General features: G+C 36.8%; 1 protein-coding gene across 5 annotated transcripts in view; it reads right to left on the bottom strand.

Moving 5' to 3' along the window:
- STK26 (serine/threonine kinase 26) overlaps positions 1–22,711 on the bottom strand; it is a 52,642-nt gene that overhangs the window by 3,892 nt on the left and 26,039 nt on the right. For 2 of the 5 annotated variants that reach the window (NM_016542.4, XM_047442155.1), the window contains 6 exons: positions 17,191–17,421; positions 8,563–8,619; positions 3,729–3,837; positions 3,483–3,640; positions 2,389–2,574; positions 835–983 (listed from right to left, as the gene is read on the bottom strand). In NM_016542.4, coding sequence (NP_057626.2) covers positions 835–983; positions 2,389–2,574; positions 3,483–3,640; positions 3,729–3,837; positions 8,563–8,619; positions 17,191–17,421 — 890 coding nt within the window. Of the gene's footprint in view, positions 1–834; positions 984–2,388; positions 2,575–3,482; positions 3,641–3,728; positions 3,838–8,562; positions 8,620–17,190; positions 17,422–18,270; positions 18,330–22,711 lie in introns of all 5 variants that reach the window. The other 3 variants (XM_047442156.1, NM_001042453.2, NM_001042452.2) reach the window with 3 other exon arrangements.

Raw genomic sequence — 22,711 nt, 5'->3', positions numbered from 1 at the left:
CCTCCTACCATAGATAAATACCTGTCCCTCACTACTCCCCACCTATTGAATCAGGATCTCCAGTGGTGTGGCTTGTGATTGCTTTAAGGTTCCATGAGTGACTCTTATGGGAAGCTAAGGCTAACACCCATTAGAATAGGGCACAAATTATTCTGATATTTTTTATCCCTTTCCAACATTGGACAATTTCTCATAAATGGAAGAATCTCAGAGTAGTATCTAAAGAAATTTGGTGTTGCCTTTGTGCCAGTTCAGCTGGTGGAGGACTAAATTCTGGCATAGCATACAGACTTTCCTAGTCTAAATTAATTGACAGACTTAGAGGCTGAATTTTTAATGTAAACGCTGCTGTTATAAAACCCTACAACTTTTTCAAGAAATAAAAATCATGCATAAATGAATATTTAAATGTATCAGTCTGATCTTGGTTTGGTACATGGCCAAGAGGTGGGAAAAGCCTGGAGGTCAGTTCTTTAGAGGGATTTTGCAGGTTGCCATCAAAGTATGAGAAAACACAGCTCCTTATTACTTTGAGCAAACTAATATAACACCTTTAATTGAATCCTGTTCCAAAATTTTGTAATATACTCAAGTATCCACTAGGGGTTAGACCAAGACCATTTAAAACTAGAGCTATTCACTTCCAAGAAAAACATGTTTCCAACTCCATTGTATTCCACAGACTGTGATTGAAAAAGATTTTTACAGTTTCTAAGGTGAAATTTCAAAATATGGTTTATATTTTATGCTAGAACAAGCACACTGGAGCATAGCTAAAAGATATACAATATTTAAATAGGCTGCCTACATAAAAATTAAATAATTTGTACATACGAATCAGAGCCCTCGGAATCAGATTCATCATCACTGTGTCCTTCTGCCTTCCATCTCTTAAAACGATCTATCAGTTCAGTCAGATAAGAAGTCTTCTTTGAATTTTTTACAATGAATTTGTGTTTCAGAAGTTCTTTTGCTGTAGGACGCTAAGGATAAAAAGATCAAGGCTGCATATGACAATTGTTGAACTCTTATGATTACAAGGAATGGTAAAAAAAATCATTTGAATTATTAAGCTGAAAGGTATAAAGGTATGTCTGTAGACATAAGAACAACTAAAATGCTGTAGGAAAATAGCTAATTCTATTATTGAAGTGGCTCAAGGCAACCACATTGAATCTACTACTTTGGTGTCCCAATTTGTTAAAGCCCAACGGGCAGCAGGTGGCTTACCCACCAGCAAACTGGCAGGCAGGGCCTTCTCAAAAGCAGAGAGACACATGACAGTATTTAGAAAGTAAACATTTAAAAACATTTCAAAGTAGTGTTCTAAAATACTTTAATCACATTTACTGTAAATTTGAAAAAACCTGATGAAAACTTGCAAGGCTGTAATTTTGTTATTATCTACACATATAATCCCTTCTCCATCACAAATCAATGTCTATTGCATCTAAATGCAAACACCAGGTGCTGTGGAGGATGTTCCGCCTTCATTTTATTAACATGAGAATGTTTATCATCAACTTAAAAATAGTTATATCAAGTTTGGACTGCTCTTGTGTATTTCTCGTCTCAAAAAGTCACAAGGCAGCTTTATTTCAACAACAGTAAAACAACTGTAATAGAATCCACCAAGTAAATGAATGGAGCTCACTAGCCTAGGAAAAGTATACAACTTCACATTGAAGTTTCTAAACACCAAATAAAAATAGTTAAACCTGGCCAGGCACAGTGGCTCATGCCTGTAATCCCAGCACTTTGGGAGGCTGAGGAGGGCAGATCACTAGAGGTCAGGAGTTCGAGACAAGCCTTGCCAACATGGTGAAACCCCATCTCTACTAAAAATACAAAAATTAGCCAGGCATGGTGGCGGGTGCCTGTAATCCCAGCTACTTGGGAGGCTGAGGCAGGAGAATCGCTTGAACCTGGAGGTTGCAGTGAGCCAAAATCATGCCACTGCACTCCAACCTGGGCAACAGAGCAAGGCTCCATCTCAAAAAAAAAAAATAGTTAAACCCAAATATAACTTTTCATGAAAAATGAAAACAGTTGAACAAAAATCATTGTATTTATACATACACTTTAATAATGACATAATATAAAGTTAACTTTATTTCTCAAATTTATTTCCCCCTGAAAGAGGAAATAATGAATAGAATAAGGAGGAAGCTGAGGATCAAGAAAAAAACGAAGGGTAAGGAGAAAAAGAATGAAGAATCTGGTTAAGAACTCAATAGAAATAGCAATACAGAAGGACGAACCAGGTTCCTGGATGGATCTTAGACAATTCTCACATACACTGTATTCCCTACTGCAGGAAAAGCTGCCTTTGCTATAAGTAGATCTAATAATAGAAAACAAATAGTAATAATAGCAATATATACTCACAAATGATGGATCTTTGTTCAGGCAAGCATCAATAAACTCCTTAAAAGACTTAGTAAAGTCTCCAACAAGAGTTGGAGGATTGTTTTTGGGAATAAGAAACAGAACTCTCATTGGATGCATATCGGAGTTAGGTGGCTCTCCCTTGGCTAGTTCAATAGCAGTAATTCCCAATGACCAAATGTCAGCCTAACGTAAAAGGAAAAAGAAAATAATATATATATATATATATATATATATATATATATATATATATGTGTATGTATGTATATCACCTTGAAACTCCATTCCAATATACTACCACAAAATAGTCTGTGGAACCTAATGGCTATACAGTACTTGTCTCTCAAGAAAATGTGGTGTTAATAAATTTTTATTAGTAGAATTCATTTATGTAAAACATAATGAATTCCATACTTTGTGCCAGGTACCCTTCTCGGAATGGAGGATTTCAGTAGTGTATAAGCCAGACAAAAATCCCTGCTCTTAAGGGGTTTACATTCTAATAAGAAAGACAATAAATAAATAAATAATATGGTGCCAGACGGTGCTAACTTCTGTGAAGAAAATAACAAAGCATAGTAAGAGAATAATGAATCATGGGGGGAAGGGTGTTGCAAATTTACATAAGATGGCCAGGGAAGACTTCCCTGCGTAGGTGATATTTAAGCAAAGACCTGATTGTGGGAAGAAGGTTTTTTCAGACAGAGGGAAGGGCATGCAAAGGTCCTGAGGCCAGGGTGTACTTGCTATGTTTGAGGAACAACCATGAGGCCACTGTGGATGAATAATCTAGAAGAGAGTGGTAGGAGATAAGACTGGAAAGGCAGATAATGGCCAGATTGTGTAGAGCTTTATATGTCACAGAAAGGACTTAGGATTTTATTCCACGTGGGATGAAAAGCCATTGAAGTGAATAGGGTCCAAATATTAGTTAGCTGTGAGGGAATTTATGATTAAGCAGCAAAATATGACATAACTCTAGCTTAAGAAACACTTGTGAAACAAGGAAAAATAAGGCAGTGTATTAACTAGGATAGTGTGCCATATATAATTTATTAACAAGCCCAAAACAGTTTGTACAGGTAATACTTTACTTTTGAGTCATAAGCTGACTGTTGAATAACTTCAGGAGCCATCCAAAATGGAGTTCCCACAAAGGTATTTCTTTTAATCTGTGTATCTGTCAGCTGACCAGCAACTCCAAAATCAGCAAGTTTAACATCTCCTTGTTCTGAGAGCAAGACATTGGCAGCTAGGAGGAAAAAAAGAAAAGCAAAAAAAAACTCAGCTTGCTCAGAATGCTTCTATTTTTCTCAGGTTCATATTAGACTTTTGTATACCTTTTATGTCTCGGTGAATTTTCTTTTCTGAATGCAGATAGTCCAGACCTTTTAAAATTTCCTTTAGCATGGTAGCAATCTGGAACTCATCAAATGGACCAGCTCGAAGCTTAAGGGGAAAAACACACACACACATACACATATGTGTAAAAGTTTGGAAACATAAAATTCAAAATTGGTACCTTTGAAATGAAGAAATCACTTAGACACATGATGCCGTTCTGTTTATCAAACCAATATCTAAACAAGGAAGGAAAAATGTAAAATGTGAAGGAAGAAAGCAAAAGAGTTCAGTCAAAGGGCTGAACAGGTTTTTTAATGATTCAATTTAATGAAAGATAATACGAGCCCTTTTACCTATATACTAGGCTTCAAATTCTGAGGTTCCTGAATATTTACATCAAAGATGAAACAAATATGCTTACGTAATGACAGAACCAACTATCTGTTCTTTAGATGGAAAAAAAGAGAAATCAGCTACTTAAATTCAGGCAATTGCTGTGAAAAAGTTACTACATATTGACACGAAACTGATTTTTAGGTCAGAGAATCCATAAGATTTCCACAGCAACTATTTGATCATATCAGTCAGCATTTATGTATTTTAATAATATTGCAAAGAATAGCCTTTTTGAGACTCAAATTGTAAATTTAGCCAAGAATATAATAATTAAACTATTCAGACTATGATGGTAAAAAAAAATTAAATCATGGAGGGATAATGTTTTTCAAATAAATGTAACACATATCCCTTTATTTCCCCATCCCTGTACCAAAGCCAATAGTTCCAACTGGAATACAAGGAAAGCAATGATTAGGTTTCAGGAGAACTTGTAATGGAATATCTGAAAATCCCTCTTTAAAATAAATGGTTATTTTAAAATTCTGGTACCTCATAAAGCACAAACAGTGGACTGTACAATATTATTACAGGAAAGGGTGGGAATCTAAAGTCAGAGCAGAGGTAGAGTTCTGTTTGCTTCTGGAAGGAGGGAAGAGGTGGTGAAAATCAAACATTGCCCACTCTGCCTCACACTGGGAGGGATCCACAGCTCTTTGGCACCTTGTGTATTTCATCTTTCATGAATGCCATATTTATGCTGAATAAAGGGCACTTTCATGTTGAAATTTAACAGCTTAAAATAGAACTCATACTTTGGTCTCACCATCTAATATTAACTGTGGTCTGGGTATATAGTATACTCCAGGGATATCTGTAATTCAATAGGTCCCTTTCCTAGGTAACATTATCTACTTACTTTCAAATCTATCAACTTCCACCCCAAAGTTTCTATTCAAACAGTAGTGATTAAAATAGTTTCTAAAGTCTTCTAGAAAGGTTGAAAATGGCATACTATTTTGTTGATGGCTGGCAATGAACTTCTGAGGTACTACAAAATAACTAAAGGACAAATGTCACACTACTTAAGATCAGTAATTAGTATCATCTGATCACAGGACATTGGCAAGACCAGGGGAGGTATATCCTTGGTTATTTCAGTGATTGGGCAAGATTAATGTACGACCTACTAGCTATCATTCTGAAGGACATGTAAAAGTAACATAAATAAGCCAGTATATTACCTAATACAGAAGTTTTTAAAAATATTTAAGTAAAAACAACAAAAAGGGGATCCCAAAGATTCATGAGCTTATCTGCTATATTTTAGGTTCATGTTAAAATTCAATAAAAGTGAAATCTCAATTAACTGGGTGCTAGAGGAGGATGGGAAGAAAGACTCTGTGGCAGGGAGACTTCTCCATTTGAACTTTTCTCCGATAACTGAAGAACTTGCCATGTCTCTAACAGATAATATCTCTGTCCCAGGGCAGTGTACTTGCCTTGTGTAATTTGCCTCTGTTGTCAAGTAAGAATATGCAAGAGAGGGACCTTGACTCTTTCGAAGACTGTACATTTGTGAGCTCATGGATCTTTGTCACAATTTAACTTCCAGCCAGTCCCTAATGCAGTCTGCTATTTTATGCCCTCTCTTATGGTTAGCATATTGTTTCTTTTTTCTTGGGGCTCATGTTTTATTCTAGTCATCTTATTATATGTGTTTTTGTTGCAAGCCACCACGATTCTTTTTGGAAAGAAGTGGAGCATAATAAACTCAATAAAATGATGTGCAATATACTCAAAGTCTGCTCACATACAATAAATTGTTTTTCAAGAATGGGAGTGACTCAAGGTAGACACTGTATAATGTTAACATAAATGACAAGTTGTAATCTTATGTTATTCCATTAGTTAGGTACCAGGCACCAGTTTAATGTGAGAAACACTCTCTGCTAAACATCCCTCTTATTTCCTCTTGTTCTTAGTAGCAGAGCCTTCCTCTACACCTAATCCTGTCTTAGATTCCCCCAAATGATAGCATTTATTTGTACAGGAATATACATGAAAAAGGAATAGCACATTTTCTCATTATCTGCTCTCCCTGTAAAGTCTAGTTAAATGAGTTTTATAATTAAATCACAATATTATTGAATTTTAGAGCTAAGAACACAAAATTAGAGATTACTGATTCAATTTCTTCATTTAACATGTGAATAAATTAAGACACAAGGAGGCTAAAGGGCCGCCCAATATTTGCCAGGCAGTCAGTGTTAGCACTGGGTTTATGACCTAGGCCTTTTGATTCTTAACCAATACAGTACTAACAACATTTTTCATTCATTGAAACTGTTATTAATGGCTATTTGTTTTATTAAGTAGAGTTCAGAATAGCAGGATGAGATTAAGATCTCACAATCATTTAACTTGGAGATTTCATAAAACTGACCAAACTACTAATAGGGGACACAGATTTGGGTCATTGGTTGGGGTTAGGCCAGTGTTCACTGTTTAACATTGCTATCAGTGATCCTGTTGAACAGAGTGGCCTAGCTTTGCCAGTGCTTCCAAAATGGGGAAGAGATATGGTGAGCACCCTGAGGAACCAGATAAGACAACTGATAAATTTGGAAAGGGCTCTTAATATTCAAAAAATGGAAGGAGGATCATGAAACAATTGAGAGGCTTCTTGTAGAGCTAATGAAAAAACTATTGAATAATATGACTCTGTGACAAGACAAATAGAAATGAGATCATTTAACTTCAAGAGGAGAATGAAGCCTGACTCCATATGCATGAAGGATTATTACACAAAGAAACATCAGTGGTGTTCTCTCACTAGAGACGAGAGAAAAAAAATGAACTCAGGCTTTAGGATATAAGAATTAGATTAGACACAAGGAAAGATTACCAAATTCAGCAACTGATTAAACTGACATGAATTCCTAGTAGTAGATGAGGCTCTCCATCAAGTTTAATTACCATTTCTTTAAAATGGTTTAAATATGGTTCTGCCTAAAGGAAAGAAAATCTCTTATAGTCATTTCTGTTCATAAAATTATTTGAAGCTTTGAGTTACTGGCAGTCAAGGTTAAAGCCTTTTAAAAATATTTAATCACTTTCAGTTAGGAAAACTCATCTCCACCTAAAAAAATAAGAATTAAAATATTACTTGATTATTTTAATCAAAACACTTTCTTAGAAACAGCATACTCTATAATTTCTAAGGCAGAAACACGCAAATAAAAAAAATATAATATTAAAGATGGAAGGGAACTTAGAAATAACTTAGTGCAACTTCTTTGTTTTATAGAACACCTACGTCCAGGAAGTTTGTGTCTGGTTCACAGGCACAGAGCCAGACCTATAACCTCAAACACCCCAGGCCAGCCCAGTGGTCATTCTACTACACTAAGTTGCCTCTCATAAGTCATACTGAATTTTAAAACATAGTATCATATTAATAAAGATTTTTAAGGAAGGGAAAGAAACTCAACATTGATAGGATCACACTGAATTGGGGAACAACCAGTGTTTCTCAAAGGCATTCTGTGTGTAAATGCATCTTCATTGGGTTGAATTTTCCTGCACACTGCAGGATTTTAGCATTCTGATCCATGACCACAAAAATGGCAGGAGCACTTCTAAGTCATTGTGACAACCCAAATGCCATCACATTTCCAAATAACCTATAGAGGGGCAGAGAGAACTCTGTGAAGAACTGGATCTGTAGGCCAACCTTGTTTAGAACCCTAGTACCACTATCTTAGTCAATTCAGGTGCTATAGCAGAATACCACAGACTGGGTGGCTTAAACAATATTTCTCACAGTTCTGGAGACTGGGAAAGAAGTCCAAGATCAAGGGGCTGGCAGATTCGAGTCTGGTAAAGGCACTCTTCCTGGTTTCCAGAAGGCCTTCTTCTCACTGCACCCTCTCGTGGTGGAAAGAAAGTCAGAGAGCTCTCTGGGGCCTCTTTTGTAAGGGTGCGAATCTCATTCATGAGAACTCACCTTCATGACTTAATTAGGTCCCAAGGTCCCCACCGCCTAATACCATCACATTGGGGGTTAGGATTTCCACATATGAATTTTGGGGGGACACAAACATTCAGTTCATAAAAAACACTTTTAGTGACAGTTATCTCAATTACATATTTTTTAAAAATCTAAGAAAACTCAGTTTTTTCAGGGATAAGCTTGCAAAAGTCAAACTTTGACAGCAATGGATACACACATCCCCTTCTAATTTGGGAGACTTTATTTTATTAAGCTATTTGCATTTCTTATATAGTCTTAGAATGCCAGCAACATGTTCAAACGTACAATACATCTGTACCTACATAAGGTAGAGGTCATGAAAAAAGAATTTAATTTGAACATATTAACTAAAGCAACCACTTAGCGTGCTCAAAAGCCATTAATCTTCAATTTAAAAAATTAAGGTATGTGCATATGCACACATTTGCATCTGTGTGTAACTATTTTAAAATACTTACAAGATCCAGTGCTGAACCACCGCCCAGGTATTCCATTATTATCCATAATTTAGACCCCTGTAAAGCCATGAAACAATTTAATAATTACAAACCTGAGCCAAAATAACATACTAGCAAAAATGTTAAATCTCACATACTAAAGCACAGATTCTATTTGCATGTTCTCATTTATTTGTGGGAGCTAAAAATTAAAACAATTGAACCCTTGGAGATAGAGAATAGAAGGATGGTTACCAGATGCTGGGAAGGATAGTAGGGAGGGGGAGTTGGTGATGGTTAATGGGTACAAAAAGTAGTTAGAGAAAATGAGTAAGATCTAGTATTTGATAGCACAACAGGGTGACTATAGTCAATAATAATTTAATTATACTTTTAAAAATAAGTAGAAAAGTATTACCGGACTGTTTGTAACACAGAGAGTAAATGTACCCTGATGTGATCATTATACATTATATGCCTTTATTAAAATAGCTCATGTACCCCCATAAATATTTACACCTTCTTTGTAGCCACAAAAATTAAAAATTAAAAAAATAAAGAACAGATTCTAAAATGTAGGTTTAAAAATGGTTGCTTGGGAACCCCGAATATATTTTTTCCATAGAACATTCCAAATTAAAATTCTGAGCTTAGACTACCCGCATACCTTTTTGCCTATGATATAGCTAAACAAATAAAAGTACTGTTTGTTATTGTTGAACTATTAGTAATTTTTATAAAAAACAAAGCTTTAAATAATTATCTTGAATGATATTGGAAAGAAAAGATAGTTACATTAAAGAATGAGGAGGTAAATGAGGGCTTGTAGAAATTTTGGGTTTGAGTTTGAGGACAATGGATATTTTGCCTTATTTCAGTTGTTGGCTTTCATTTGTTTTGATGTACTTCAAACTTTTATCAGCTACGGTTAATGGGCATTTTTGGCACACACGGAACCTAGAAAGAATATTGTTCATTTTACCTCTGATGTAAATGGATAAGAAAAAGGGAGAGTGTAGCTTTAAAAATCTGTGCTTTCTCCAGGTGGAATTAACTTCCCTGTGAGCTGAACAAGAGGAAATGGGGCTCCTGGGAGGAATATATGTATACAAATTCTAAAACAGGTGTACACACACACATACCATTCAGTACCATCAGTTAAACACTGGAATAAACCATTAAACCCTTTTTATTTTAGCTATAGCTTAAATACAAGGGACACCTCTCTCTCCATACCATTTCATGAGTGGTATTCTCTGAATTTTTGTGGGACCAAAGAGCTGACTGGAAGTAGAATGGTTGGCTTTACTATACTGGCAGCAGCCAAGTAGTGACTGGACTGTGTTCCAAAAGTTGGTTTTTAAGTAAGATGTTCAGAATTTTAAAAGCAAGCATTTTCCCATAAAAATAATGTCTAAGTTCCTGGGGTAGTCCTCCCAAAAGACAATTTCACACAAATGTATTCATTCGTAGTATAGCATAAAAAGTACCAGAGAAACTCACTACTATTTATATCTTAACAATATTTCAAGTAGGAAAATATATTCAGCATGGTGCCTCAACTTGGGATGCCAGAAACACATTTCTCACCTTTACAACCCCAGCTGCGGGGTGAAGATTCTCAAGCTACTGCCAGTAGCCCTCAAACTCAAAAATCCCTGGGAGGTATTCAGGAGTCCAATTTAAAATTTCCAGGCATCTCCATGAGGATGTGACTTTATCAAGGCAGAGAATGGAACCCAGTGACATGATGATGAGTGCTTAGGGGATGGGAGAGGGTTGAAGAATCAGAGTGGAACTGACATTGTAGTGTGGGGAATGGGATGTGGCCTAGGGTTAGCGATCATGAAGGGAGGGCTCAGTTAATTAAGACAAAATGATTCTCCTTTCCATATGCTGACACTATGTAGAATTTGTAAGAGAAAGGGAGGAACAATATTCCCCTACCACTTCCTCCACTAATCTTGACATCCACTCTGTCCTGACATAGATGGCCAGCAGGCACTGTGAGCAGAAAGCTGAGAGTCTTGGTTAGCAGTGAAGTCTACATTAGGAAATAGAGGAAATAAATTCCCACAATACTGGTGAGGGAAGAGGAGTTCCAGGAAAGGTTCATATAACTTGTATTTGTGTATAGAACCTAGGCACTCGCAACCTGAGAATTGTGACTCTGATGTACCTTTATACTTTTTTCAAGAGAAGAAAAAAGTGGTTCTTACAATGGTGGATAGGTTAAAAATTGTTTCTTCTGCCACAAGTTTGTTTCTAACAAGTACTATACTCTATCATATGAATTCAGAGAGCTTCCCATTCACCTGACATTTAAAAGAAAAAGATCTTATAAAACATGCCTGCCTATTTTGCAGTTCTGCATGAATGAAAGCACCTGTTTTCCAAGTTAAAAACAATGTGTGCCTTTTTGTTTGTACTAATTCAAAACAGAAACTTGCCAACTGTCTGTCAGTAAAACGTGTTCATAGAAAGCTTGAAATGTGACTTTACAAAGTAGTATATACCATTAAGCATTAAAATTACAACTACTCAATTTCTAGATCTGAAAATAAGGAATCCTTATTTGTTCTGGAAATCAGTGGTGGTGAGGGCTGCACAACACGCCTGTAATCCTGGTATTTTGGGAGGCCGAGGTGGGAGGATCGCTTGAGTCCAGGAGTCTGAGAGCAGTCTAGGCAACATAGGGAGTCCTCATCTCTACAAAAAGTGCAAAAAAGTAGCCAGGTGTGGTGGCATATGCCTGTAGTCCCAGCTACTCGGGAGGCTGAGGTGGGAGGATCAATTGAACCTGGGAGGTGGAGGCTGCAGTGGGCCAAGACTGCGCCACTGTACTCCAGCTCGGGAGACAGAGTGAGACCCTGTCACAAAAAAAAAGCAAAACAAAAAAACAAAACAAAAAAAAAACCACCCAAAAAACAAACAAACAAAAAAAACACAAAATCAATGTGAATGTAGCCAATGCCAGAGAGCTGTACACTTAAAATGGCAAATTTAGTGTTAAGTATATTTTGCCTGATTAAAAAAAACATACAGCACATAAGACTTTATAAAACTGGAAGTGACAGTAGAGATCATCTTGCCAAGAATATGGCTAGAAAATTTACCACTTCTGAGTCATTTTCCTCCAGCTTGGAATGCTGTGTCCCTACCCCACTTGCACCTTCCAACCCCTATCAAAATCATTCTCAAGACTTAGTTCAAATGCTACCTCCCTAGTTTGAGGGTTATTGCACTTGATGTACTCACAGATAAGCAGGCTATTAATATGAAGCAAGTTATAAACACATATCTGGGGCTGAGCAGAGAGGATGAAACCAGAGACATCAGTTTAGAAGTTGTCAGACGAAAGTAGATGAGATTAACCACAATATGCAAAAGAAGAGGAATACACATAGTAGGCATTAATAAATAAGCGTCTGTTGAATTGAATCTAACATGGGGCTTCTTAGAGGTGTATTATATTAAGTTTAAAGCTATTCCTATTTTGAGAAAAGAACATTTTAAGAAGGAACAAACTTTCTAGCCTCCATTTTCTTCAAGTTTTATAAGAGAACTCCAAAACAAATGTTAACAATAAAAGAATATTCCAGAGGCATTGAGCATACATAAACTGGCTGTAAGCACATACAGTTTCAGTGAAAAATAAGGAGAAGGCCACAAAGCCGTACAGATGATTCTGAAATATTTTACTTCATTCAATTCTTTTTTTTTTCATAAATACTGGTGATGGTGGGTGGGAGGCAATATTTCCTTAACATACACAGAAATCTAAAGGCAATTTTCAGCAGCAAATAAAGGCATGATTCAAATTCTATTCAATGCCTGAGTGTCATTTTAAGATTTACACTGAACTAGAAAAATATTTAAAGATTATAAAAGATTATTCCAATATTATGAGATCAGAAGGGAAGGGTTTGCTTATTTTAGCACTCTTCATAAAGACTAACTTTGTCAAGAAAATCTGCCCAGTGAACTAAAATTAAAGGAAAACACTGTGGTCATACTGATGTGTTTGTCTGGTTTTTAACTCTTGTTTTCAAAAATGAAGTTATACAGTGAGCTTAGTCAAAATGAATACCTAGTACATTTTTTGCATGTCTCAAGGAAATCACTACAACTGCATACAGTTTCAAAGAACATATAATTTTCTCTCAAATGTAATAAACTTTTCCTCCAGCTTACAGTGAGGTCTTAGTTATGGATGACATCCTGTGTAAGAACAACCCATTTCCCAGTTTGCTCAATTAACTTGACTCACAAAATCCTCCATGTCACCTGAAATGGAACAATGGGCCACAATAAGTATGTAAGTTGACTGATAACACAGTTCCCTGATGGCACAAAGAGGATGTGGCCTTGACTTATGTTGACTACATGAAACAGAATCCTGTTATATTTGACGTGATTTTAGTTTAGAAAAAAATACAAACCCACACAGTCATACTATGTTGTAATATAAATGGAAAATAAATGAGTTGGTCAATTTAAGAAAGTGATTTAAATACATGGTATGAAAACGTTGTAAGATTATAGAATATTTCTTTCTCTGTGTGTATATACATATGTCTCAAGACATATGTATATACACACAGATTTATTTACTTTAAATAGATTCAGAACACAAATAATCAACATAAGCCAGCTGCACATTTCTACAATTTTATCATGAAGCAACATGTTCTTCAAAGTAGTGTTTTATATCATAGAGTTTAGTTAATGATGGGTGAAGGAGATAAAAATAATTTGATTTAATCCCTTAAGAAGCTATCTTGGACGATGGTTTTGTAGCACTGGCTGGTCTGAGTACACTTTACAATCAAAATTTGGGACAAACAAAAAACTAGTTTTTAATTATTTAAAGATTAAGTAAATACTGGGTGACTAGTACATGTATACTACTGTGCAACTTAAAAAACACTCTATATGAAATCTTAGGAAAAGAAGATAGAGCTGTCACTCATTTTCCATGGGAGTATTGAATATGAATAAATAAGCAACCAATAAAATTGTCAAACCATATCAGTACCAATTTTCAATATATTATGGAATAGCCATTTTAAATAGGGCGTATTTAATATTTTAGGTCAGCAACCAAAAATAGTGTTTTTGTCACAGGTGCCTAAAAGTAGCAAGGATTCAGTTTTGCCCTAGAGTGAGTCTGGAAATACCGGGATTCAGTCCAGAAAGAGTAAACCAGAATGAGCAAATGATACACACACAGACACACACACACACACACACACATACACACACACGCACACACACACATGTACCACCAAGGAATTGTATGGGAATTAGGAGGAGAACCTAAAACTACTGAGACTGCGTAATCACTCATGAGATCTCTAAAAAAGAATATGATGGGCTGAATTAGCTTTTTAGGAACAAATATGACAGCAAAATTATCACACAAAGGAGCAAATAATTATGTATGTAGTAAAATACAGTAATAGCTAACACTTAGATGTAAATGCTGAAATTGGATAGAAATTACTAGCATTATCACCTCCTTTTGGAGGCCTTTTATTCATGCCACTCCTGAAAAGGACAGAAGTGACTACTTACTAATTTGTGCATCATCTATACCTTGTACATACTTTAACCATAAAATTGGCATCATTTCAGTGCAAAACTGGACTGTGAGTGCCTTGACAGCAGTAGTGAGTTTGTTCACTTTTATATCTTCAGCACCTAATACAGTGTGTAATATATAGTGGCTGTTTGGCTGCTTAATGATTCATTCTACTATGCATTCATACCACATACATCCAATATTAGAATAAGTCGGGTTTTGTAAACAGGCAGTGAAATTTGTGATAAATTTCTATATCAGTATTAACCAATATAGATACAGATAGATGGAAAGCGATGACAAAGTCACCAAGACGGCAGAGGAGATACCAGTTTTAATCATCCCCTCCCTCCACATATACATAAAAAGCCCCCAAATATAGACAGCTATCCACAAACCCAAGTAACTCTGGAAGGATTCAAGGGCCTATTTAACAATCTGCAGCAACACAGTGGAGCAAAAAAGAAAGAATAACTCCACAGGAAGGATCACTGAGGAGATCAGCATACCTGAGAGGCCAGGAAATGTCTAGGAACAAAGATGAAAGGTGGAGGCTATTGGTATCACTACACAGTAGAAGCCATCATGGTCCCCAGTGGCCTGCTCTGCAGAGGACACTGGCATCTCTTGCTACTGAGGTAGTCAACAGCCATTTCTGCCAGGGAACCCCAAGAGGAATACATGACTACAAAACTCTCTCATCTCAAGAAGAAGACATTGTTGAGCCACATGGAGAAAGAAGCCACCACTCTGAAAACTGATGCAGCTCCAGACCTCTGAGTCATGGCCACTCCACTAGTGCCCACACTCCAGACCCAGATTCTGCGTCTTCACTGAGCTCAACCATACCTCAGACATTGGAGCCACTGCCACAGTGAGCTAGCTCACACCCCAGGGCCCCGGAGCCAAGGTTTCTCTGAGTGTGCCTATGCTCCAGACATCCACACAGTCACCACTGAAAGCTAGCCTGTGTTCTGGACTCCAGACCAGCTGAGTGGTTGCACTGGACCCACCCACAGCTCAGACACTTGAGCTAATCACTGCCATAGTGAGCTAGCTCACATCCCAGGCTCTGGAGACAAGGTCCCTCTGAGCGTGCCTATGCTCCAGACATCAGCTCAGATGTTACAAATAGCTAGGCCCTACGCCACCCTCAGAGCCACTGTAGCTCTGTGCAGCAGTAGGGGGTATTTGTACCTAGGACGTTGGTATTACTATTGGCTTGGGCCCCAGAGCATGTCCCTCCAGATATGCCTATGCTTGAAGCCTTAGTTCTGTGGCCACTCCATGGGCATCACTCATTAGACACTAGTGCCACCTCAAGTGGGCCCACAAGCAGACCCAATGCCAAAAGGGATCTACTCGGCTATGATTTCTCTGGTGGAAGAAAAAGAGACTGGGGGGACCCTAGCAGCTCTTGCCACCAAAGACCTCAAACAGCCCTCACCACTGTTGTAGACAACCAAGGTATTGACCACTGAGGATCCCTGCAATCTTTGTCAACACTAATCTCAAGTGACAAAGCTGCACAGGAACTATACTCCTATGCCCTCATTGGAGCCAGAACCACTGCAACCCACCCAGCCATTGCTCTCACACTGTCCTACAGAGGAAGAAGGTCTTTTCACACTGAAACCTGTAATGTCTGGAAGAGGCGATTGCTCTATCAACTGCAGAGACATCAACATAAGGCAATAATAAACATGAAAAACCAAGGAGACATCTCACCACCAAAAGAACACAGTAGTTTCCCAGTAGCTGACTCCAAATAAATGGAGATTTATAAACTGCCTGACAAATAATTTAAAATAATTGTGTCAAGGAAGCTCAGCAAACTTCGAGAAAATACAAAGAAACAAGTGAAATCAGGAAAACAATAAATGAACAAAATGATAAATTTAACAAGTAGATTAAATCATTTTAAAAACTCAGAAATTTCAAAGCTGAAAAATACAATGAATGAAATGAAACAATACAATAAAGTGTCAATAGCAGAACTGATCAAACAGAAGAAAGAATCTGTGAACTTGAAGACAGGTTATTTCGTAAAGGTATAGATGGATATCCGAAGTTTTATTTGGTCAGCAGAGGATAAAATGATAGCATTAATTTTTACGCAGGCCAACAGCTTAATTAGTTATAGATACGCTCTTTTTGGCCTATAGATCAACCAGTAACAACAAACACTTCCCTCCTTTTAAACCCTGAATGGCAAAGATCTAGCACAGCCTTCATTTGAAAAACTGCAATACAAGGATAAACAATTTTAATTTTAAAATGATTCAAACTCCAAACTAAGCTAGAGTTCATGGGGGCTTTTCTTCAACTATTTATTATTCACATTTCAACAGACACGAATCCTGACTTCTAACTCTGGAACCCAAGGACCACTGGGTTTTACCAACCAGTTTTCTGCTATGTAGTAACACCTCCATCTGCTGGAACTTCAGGTGTCTGCTAATCCCATGATCCTGGAACCAGTAAAAATCCAACTTTTATTTGGAGGGGGAGGCAGATGTTATTCCACTTAATTCCATTTTAACAAATATTTACCACATGCTTAAGATGTACCATACCCTGTGCTAAGGAATGTAAGTACCAGGACTGGTTAAGCTAAACTCCCTGCTATGAAGGAGCTCACAACCTGGTGGGGGAGAGAAATGTGTAAATAACTACCATAACTCAATGAAATAAGTGACATACTTACATGTTCCATCAGCTCTGAGGTTGAGACAGTTAAGACCATTGAGAATAGTGTCTGGAAACCCAGGGGGATAGCTCTTTCCTGACAAAGGAGATGTCTCCAGGACCAGCTGCATTTCTGCTCCTCCATCAAACCAAAAGTTCAGGTGTGGAAAAGGGGTGCAGCTGAGTACTGGGATGCATTCAGAATACAGCTGCTAAATCTAACAACGGTTTATTTGGCACTATAAATGGAGCTGGATTCTGCCTGGAAGCCATAGACTGCCAAATCCTAATTTAAGACATTGCCTTTCAAAAAAATAGAATTAAAAAACTTCTAATGAAAATACCTTATGACTTAAATAATACAGCACACACATTACCTTTAAATATGACCCATAGTATTTTGTTACATATGAGCTGTCACATTGACTCAAGACAGTTATTTCTTGCTGAATGTCTTCTATTTCATCTTCGGCTTCCTCAAGGTCTATGATTTTAATAGCAACGACTTGCTGGGTACGGTTATCAATTCCTTTGAAAACTTCCCCAAATGAGCCTTTCCCAATGCGCTCTAATTTTGTGAACAGTTCTTCTGGATCAGCTATGTTATTCTGAAGGGAGTGGGGAACGAGAAAAAGAAAGAACACAAATGTTTTGAATCAAATTTTTTTAATGAAGGAAAATAAATCACATAAGACAATAACACATTTTTGTAAAAGCATACAAACTCCTCTGACTCCCCACATGTGCTTTGTTAGAACAACTGTAATCCCAAACAGGCAGCTAGTCCATATTCTAGTGAATCATACACACTAACTGAGCTTAGCTGATCCTGCTATCACAAACATTCTCACACAGCAAATATATCCAGTGCATGCCAAAACATCAGGCACTTTTTGGAATAAAGCCGCTGATTATACACAGTTTACACATTAATGCAAATGTAGCAATAGTGGGAGAATATCTAACCTAAGCTAAGGTGAACTGTTTAAGTTTCTAACATTCTGCCAATATTACCTTTTAACACTCCTCTCTCTCCAACTCGGATATCCCAATCATCTTAGCTACACTTCCAAACCGCCATCTAAATAACACAGACCACAAAAGACTCCAGGCTTTACAGGTCTTTGTTTTTCATTAGTTGGAATCTTATCTATATGTAATCTTATCATCAATAGCTGAACTAAGATTCTATACCTTTGTAATAATTGCTAGTAATCATGAGAAAATGGTAACACATTGAACTTTTCACAACTCATGTCACAGTGAAGATCCAGAATAATTTAACACTTCACTACAATAAAATCTGGAATAAGCATAGGCTTTCAAGGTTAACAAATGTATAGGCATGACGTAGATTTATAAATTCACTGTTGTTTCCTGATTCAGAAATATTCTGTATCTTATAATATACAATTTTGAATTAAAATTTTACCCCAAGACAAACTTTATATACTTACTTAAATTCATCTTGCTGAAAATATACTGCTGATCAAGTAGAAACTCAAGATTGCCAACCCTGCCAAAAGCACATTAAGTGCTTTATTAATCAAAAACTTTGAGTTCCTTCAAAATATAAGAGGATTCTATCAAGTTCTGGTGAGCTATCATGTCTAATTTGTTAACTGGACCTAGAATAGCTGTTCATTTACTACAGTTTTACTTAGTTTCACTTCATCATCAATTTCAGAAGACAATTATGGAGTTAGCATGTCCCTTTTATCTTCCTTTATTAGACAAAGAGGGCATTGAAAATATTGCTTTTCTCTTATCAAGTTCATTGCACCATGATCACCAAATGGACACACTACTACTCCAGTAAACCACTACCTTTTGAGGTAACTCCAAAACTCATGACTGCTTTTAAAGAATTTCACCAAGTTCTCTTTTTACACAGCCTAAAATACAGTTTGTACATGACCTGTTTACCTTATAAGCTTCCCCATTCTCTCTGATTGGATTTTTTTCCATTTCTAAAAGTTGTGCTTTCCATATAGAAGTCTCTGAGACTGCAAGCTACTTGTGTATCCCCACCCACCTCCAGTACCCACATGGAACAAACACATCTTGAGCTTTCCATATGGGCTTTTAAAAATAGCTTAGGCTTCCAGTAGGTTGCAAATGCATTTTTAATGCCCATATTTGGTTATAATACCTTCTCAAAAACTTGAGTGCCATCATTATTGATTTCCTTGGTGTCCTCTTTTACCAAGACATTGTATTTCATTGTGACTACTAATACATAGTGGCTAACCCACAGTTACCTCTTCCTACTTTTGGTGATGGTCCTTGGCTTTGTAATACCTTGTGGAAAAAATACTTACTACATAGCTTGGTGATGGGTTCACCTCCTTATAACTTCCTTTAGAAAAAAATATTTCTGTTTTCCTGATACAGTTATAAAACAATTCTAAAATTTGGGAATGTATCATTTATTTGAAGATACATAGGATATATCTTCTGATAAGACATTCTGGGAAGTGTATGTATTCATTAACTTTATAACAAGAATCTTCTGTTGTTAAAGAACAAAAATGAACACTTAAACTTCCTAATTAGTGTTTTAAAAGGATTTGATTCAAACAGTCAACCTCAGGGAGGATATGGCTGTTCCTTGCTTCCTACAATAAATGGGTTCTTGCAAATATGTAAATCAAAAATTTTAAAACGAGGTCACATTTTGCATTTTAAAGAAGCACTGAAGTAAACTCTAATCCATGGATATAGTTTAAGATTTTAAATTGAGGAATAGCAAGTTAGACACAGAAAAAGAGAAAGATCCATCATTTATACAATGTTTGCACTTCCTACTCTTTTATTTTGCATCTAACAATGCTCCTACAAAACACCAACTTTCAGAGTGGAGGGAACTATGAAAACAAGATTTCACTAATATAACCTCACTTCCCTAACTAGCTAAGGGATAGAGACCCCTGCCCCATTTACTAATCTTGAATCCCTGATAGATAATACAAAAGTTATAATTTCCCCTTCATCATTTTAAACCAAAGTATCCTAAGTCTTTATTAAGACAGGTTTCCTTCCTGCTTTTAGCACAAGAGAAAAGATCAAGTAAATAAATAGCAAGCATCCCAAGGAATGCAATTAAAAGCCACCTAAACAAAGAATCTAGTTTGCCTAATCATTCCCATCATTCTTTGGAACCTCTAAGAAAAGTCAGCTCCCTCTCCATCCAAATCAAATATTCTTTTAAGAATACTGAAATTCCAACCCAAATGCCCATCAATGACAGACTGAATAAAGAAAATGTGGCACATATACACCATGGAATACTATGCAGCCATAAAAAAGGATGAGTGCATGTCCTTTTCAAGGACATGGATGAAACTGGAAACCATCATTCTCAGCAAAGTAACACAAGAAGAGAAAACCAAACACTGCATGTTCTCACTCATAAGTGGGAGTTGAACAATGAGAACACATGGAAACAGGGAGGGGAACATCATACACCAGGGCCTGCCAGGGGGTGGGGGCTTGGGGGGGATAGTATTAGCAGAAATACCTAATATAAATGATGAGTTGATGGGTGCAGCAAACCAACATGGCACATGTATACCTATGTAACAAACCTGCACGTTGTGCACGTGTACCCCAGAACTTAAAGTATAATAATAAAAAAATACTGAAATGGCTAAATATTCCTTACCTCTACTGCAAAAATCACAATTTATTACTCTATCTGCATTTGTATTGCCTTCTCAAAGCTGCCCCAAAAAAAGAGCTCTATGTTCTGTAGTGTCAAATAGGAGGAACTGCTAAATTAAGCTCATATTGACTTATTAATGACAGATGATTTCCGCGTGCCATACCAAAACAGGGCTACGAAAATGAAAACCTCAAAGATCCACCTCCTCAGGGCAATCAGATTATTCCTTGGCCCTGTTTTATCTGTTATTTAACTTGAATTTGCACTCTTCAACTATAAGTACACTGTTAGAAATTTAAGTCTTATTCAGAAGGTATCATTACCACTAAAACAACAATAACAACAACAACTATTTAGTATGGAAATACTCTGAAGAAGTCCAAAAGGAAACAATGTTAGGTGAACATCTTGCTTGTCTCCTGTGCAAAGTAAGGAGCAGATAGAAGAAGCCTTCTTGGATACTTAAACCACAGAAACAGACAGCTGAAAGAACTCTTACAAGTTCTCTAGGTGCTCTCCAATCCTGGCTATAAATTAGAACTACCTATATCACTTTTAAAATGTGGATACCTAGGCTTTACCCCAAAACTACTGATTCAGCCTACTGAGACTGGGGCCTTGCAACCAATACTTCTGAAAAAGCACCCCAAATGATTCCTGTGTAGTCATTTGAACACTAGTCTCGACATCAGCACTTGGGAACCACTAAGCAGATGGATGTGAAATTTGTATCCTTGATTACAGGGAACCCATTATCCTTATTTTTCCCAGGCAAGCATATGGGTCTCATCTAATTCTGTACATTAAAAGTGGACAAGTTGGAGATTAAAGTAAAACTAAGAGGACTTTGGCATTTACTATACATACCTATATTTTTAAAAATGAAGTCTGCAATACTTCTTCTAAGGATATGTCTCTAAAATTAGCACTGGTGACCCTTGAACAACATGGGTTTTAACTGTATAGGTTCACTTACACACGAATTTATTTTCAACCAAACACAGATCAAAGATACAATATTTCCAGAATGTGAAACCCATGTATAGGGAAGGCTGACTTTTCATATATGTGGGTTCCGCAGGGTCGACTGCATGACTTGAGTATGCACCAATTTTGGTATACACAGCAGAAGAAGGTATCCTGGAATCCCGAGGGATGACTCAAGATTAGAAACATAATGTTTGTCAAAACACAAGCAACATATCCCGTACACTTTGTATACATATTCTTAAACATTGTTTATACCCAATATAGTCTATGTATTGTCGATAGGGCCTATAATAGGTTAAGATGTGACTGATGACAGAGTTTTGAGGATAACAGCCAACATTGATGAAGGATAAAATTTTAGATCTAGTTAGTAGAAAATGGGTCAACTTGTGGAGGGGGGCATTAGGAATTGGTGGCCAGGAGAAACAAGAACATTGAAGACGGATTTAGAATTAGTCTTGGAGTTCTCGCAGAATGGGGACCTAGAGAGCAAAATGTGGGAAAGAACCAAGGTAAAGAATCTAGTTCTTTGAATTTGAACTACCTAACTAAGACCCCCAGTAAGACTCTGGGACTGAGAGTGAAAACATAATAGATGTAAGGAAGAGGAGGCAGATTTCTCACAGGATTTGACCTGGAAGGATTCAACTCACGTATCCTAAAAGAATCTTCCAGAACTAAGAACCAAGCTGAGTAAGGTTGAATTGTTTTGCACCTGCCTTCCTACATTAATAAAGCCCATACTATGAATGCTGTAGCTATAAAATAACTTTTTGCACTTTACAAAGACTGGCCTGTATATAGGCCTATCAGTGACTCATTGATGAGGAGGAGTGTTACAGGAAATAATGAGCAAATAATGTGCTAATGATATCAAGGCTTAAAAGAAGATTTCTTACTTCCTTGAAGTCCTCAAGTGGGAACACCAGGAGTGACTTGCAGTGAATACAAAGTGCCCTGACAATCACAGAGAGCAACTAAAAACTTCAGCCTAACAATGTACTAAACTAGAGATATTTAGCTACCTGTTTAAATTGATCAAATCAGTTCTCCCAGGCTAGAGACGAAATGTTTTTCTGGATTACTTCCATGTATATACAGTTTCCTGTCATCTAAGAAGCAGAATGCATATAAATAAAAGTCATTCTCTAGTTGGTTTATGAGCCTCAAATTAAATTACTGTTCTATTATGATTGCCTGTGTTAAGATTTTTCACTTGCCCTTATGAACATTGCCTAAAATGT

The sequence above is a fragment of the Homo sapiens genome, chromosome X, assembly GCF_000001405.40.
Source record: "Homo sapiens chromosome X, GRCh38.p14 Primary Assembly".
NCBI lineage: Eukaryota > Metazoa > Chordata > Mammalia > Primates > Hominidae > Homo > Homo sapiens.
Note: the sequence above shows the minus strand (reverse complement) of the source record. Positions and strands in the feature narration are given on the sequence as shown.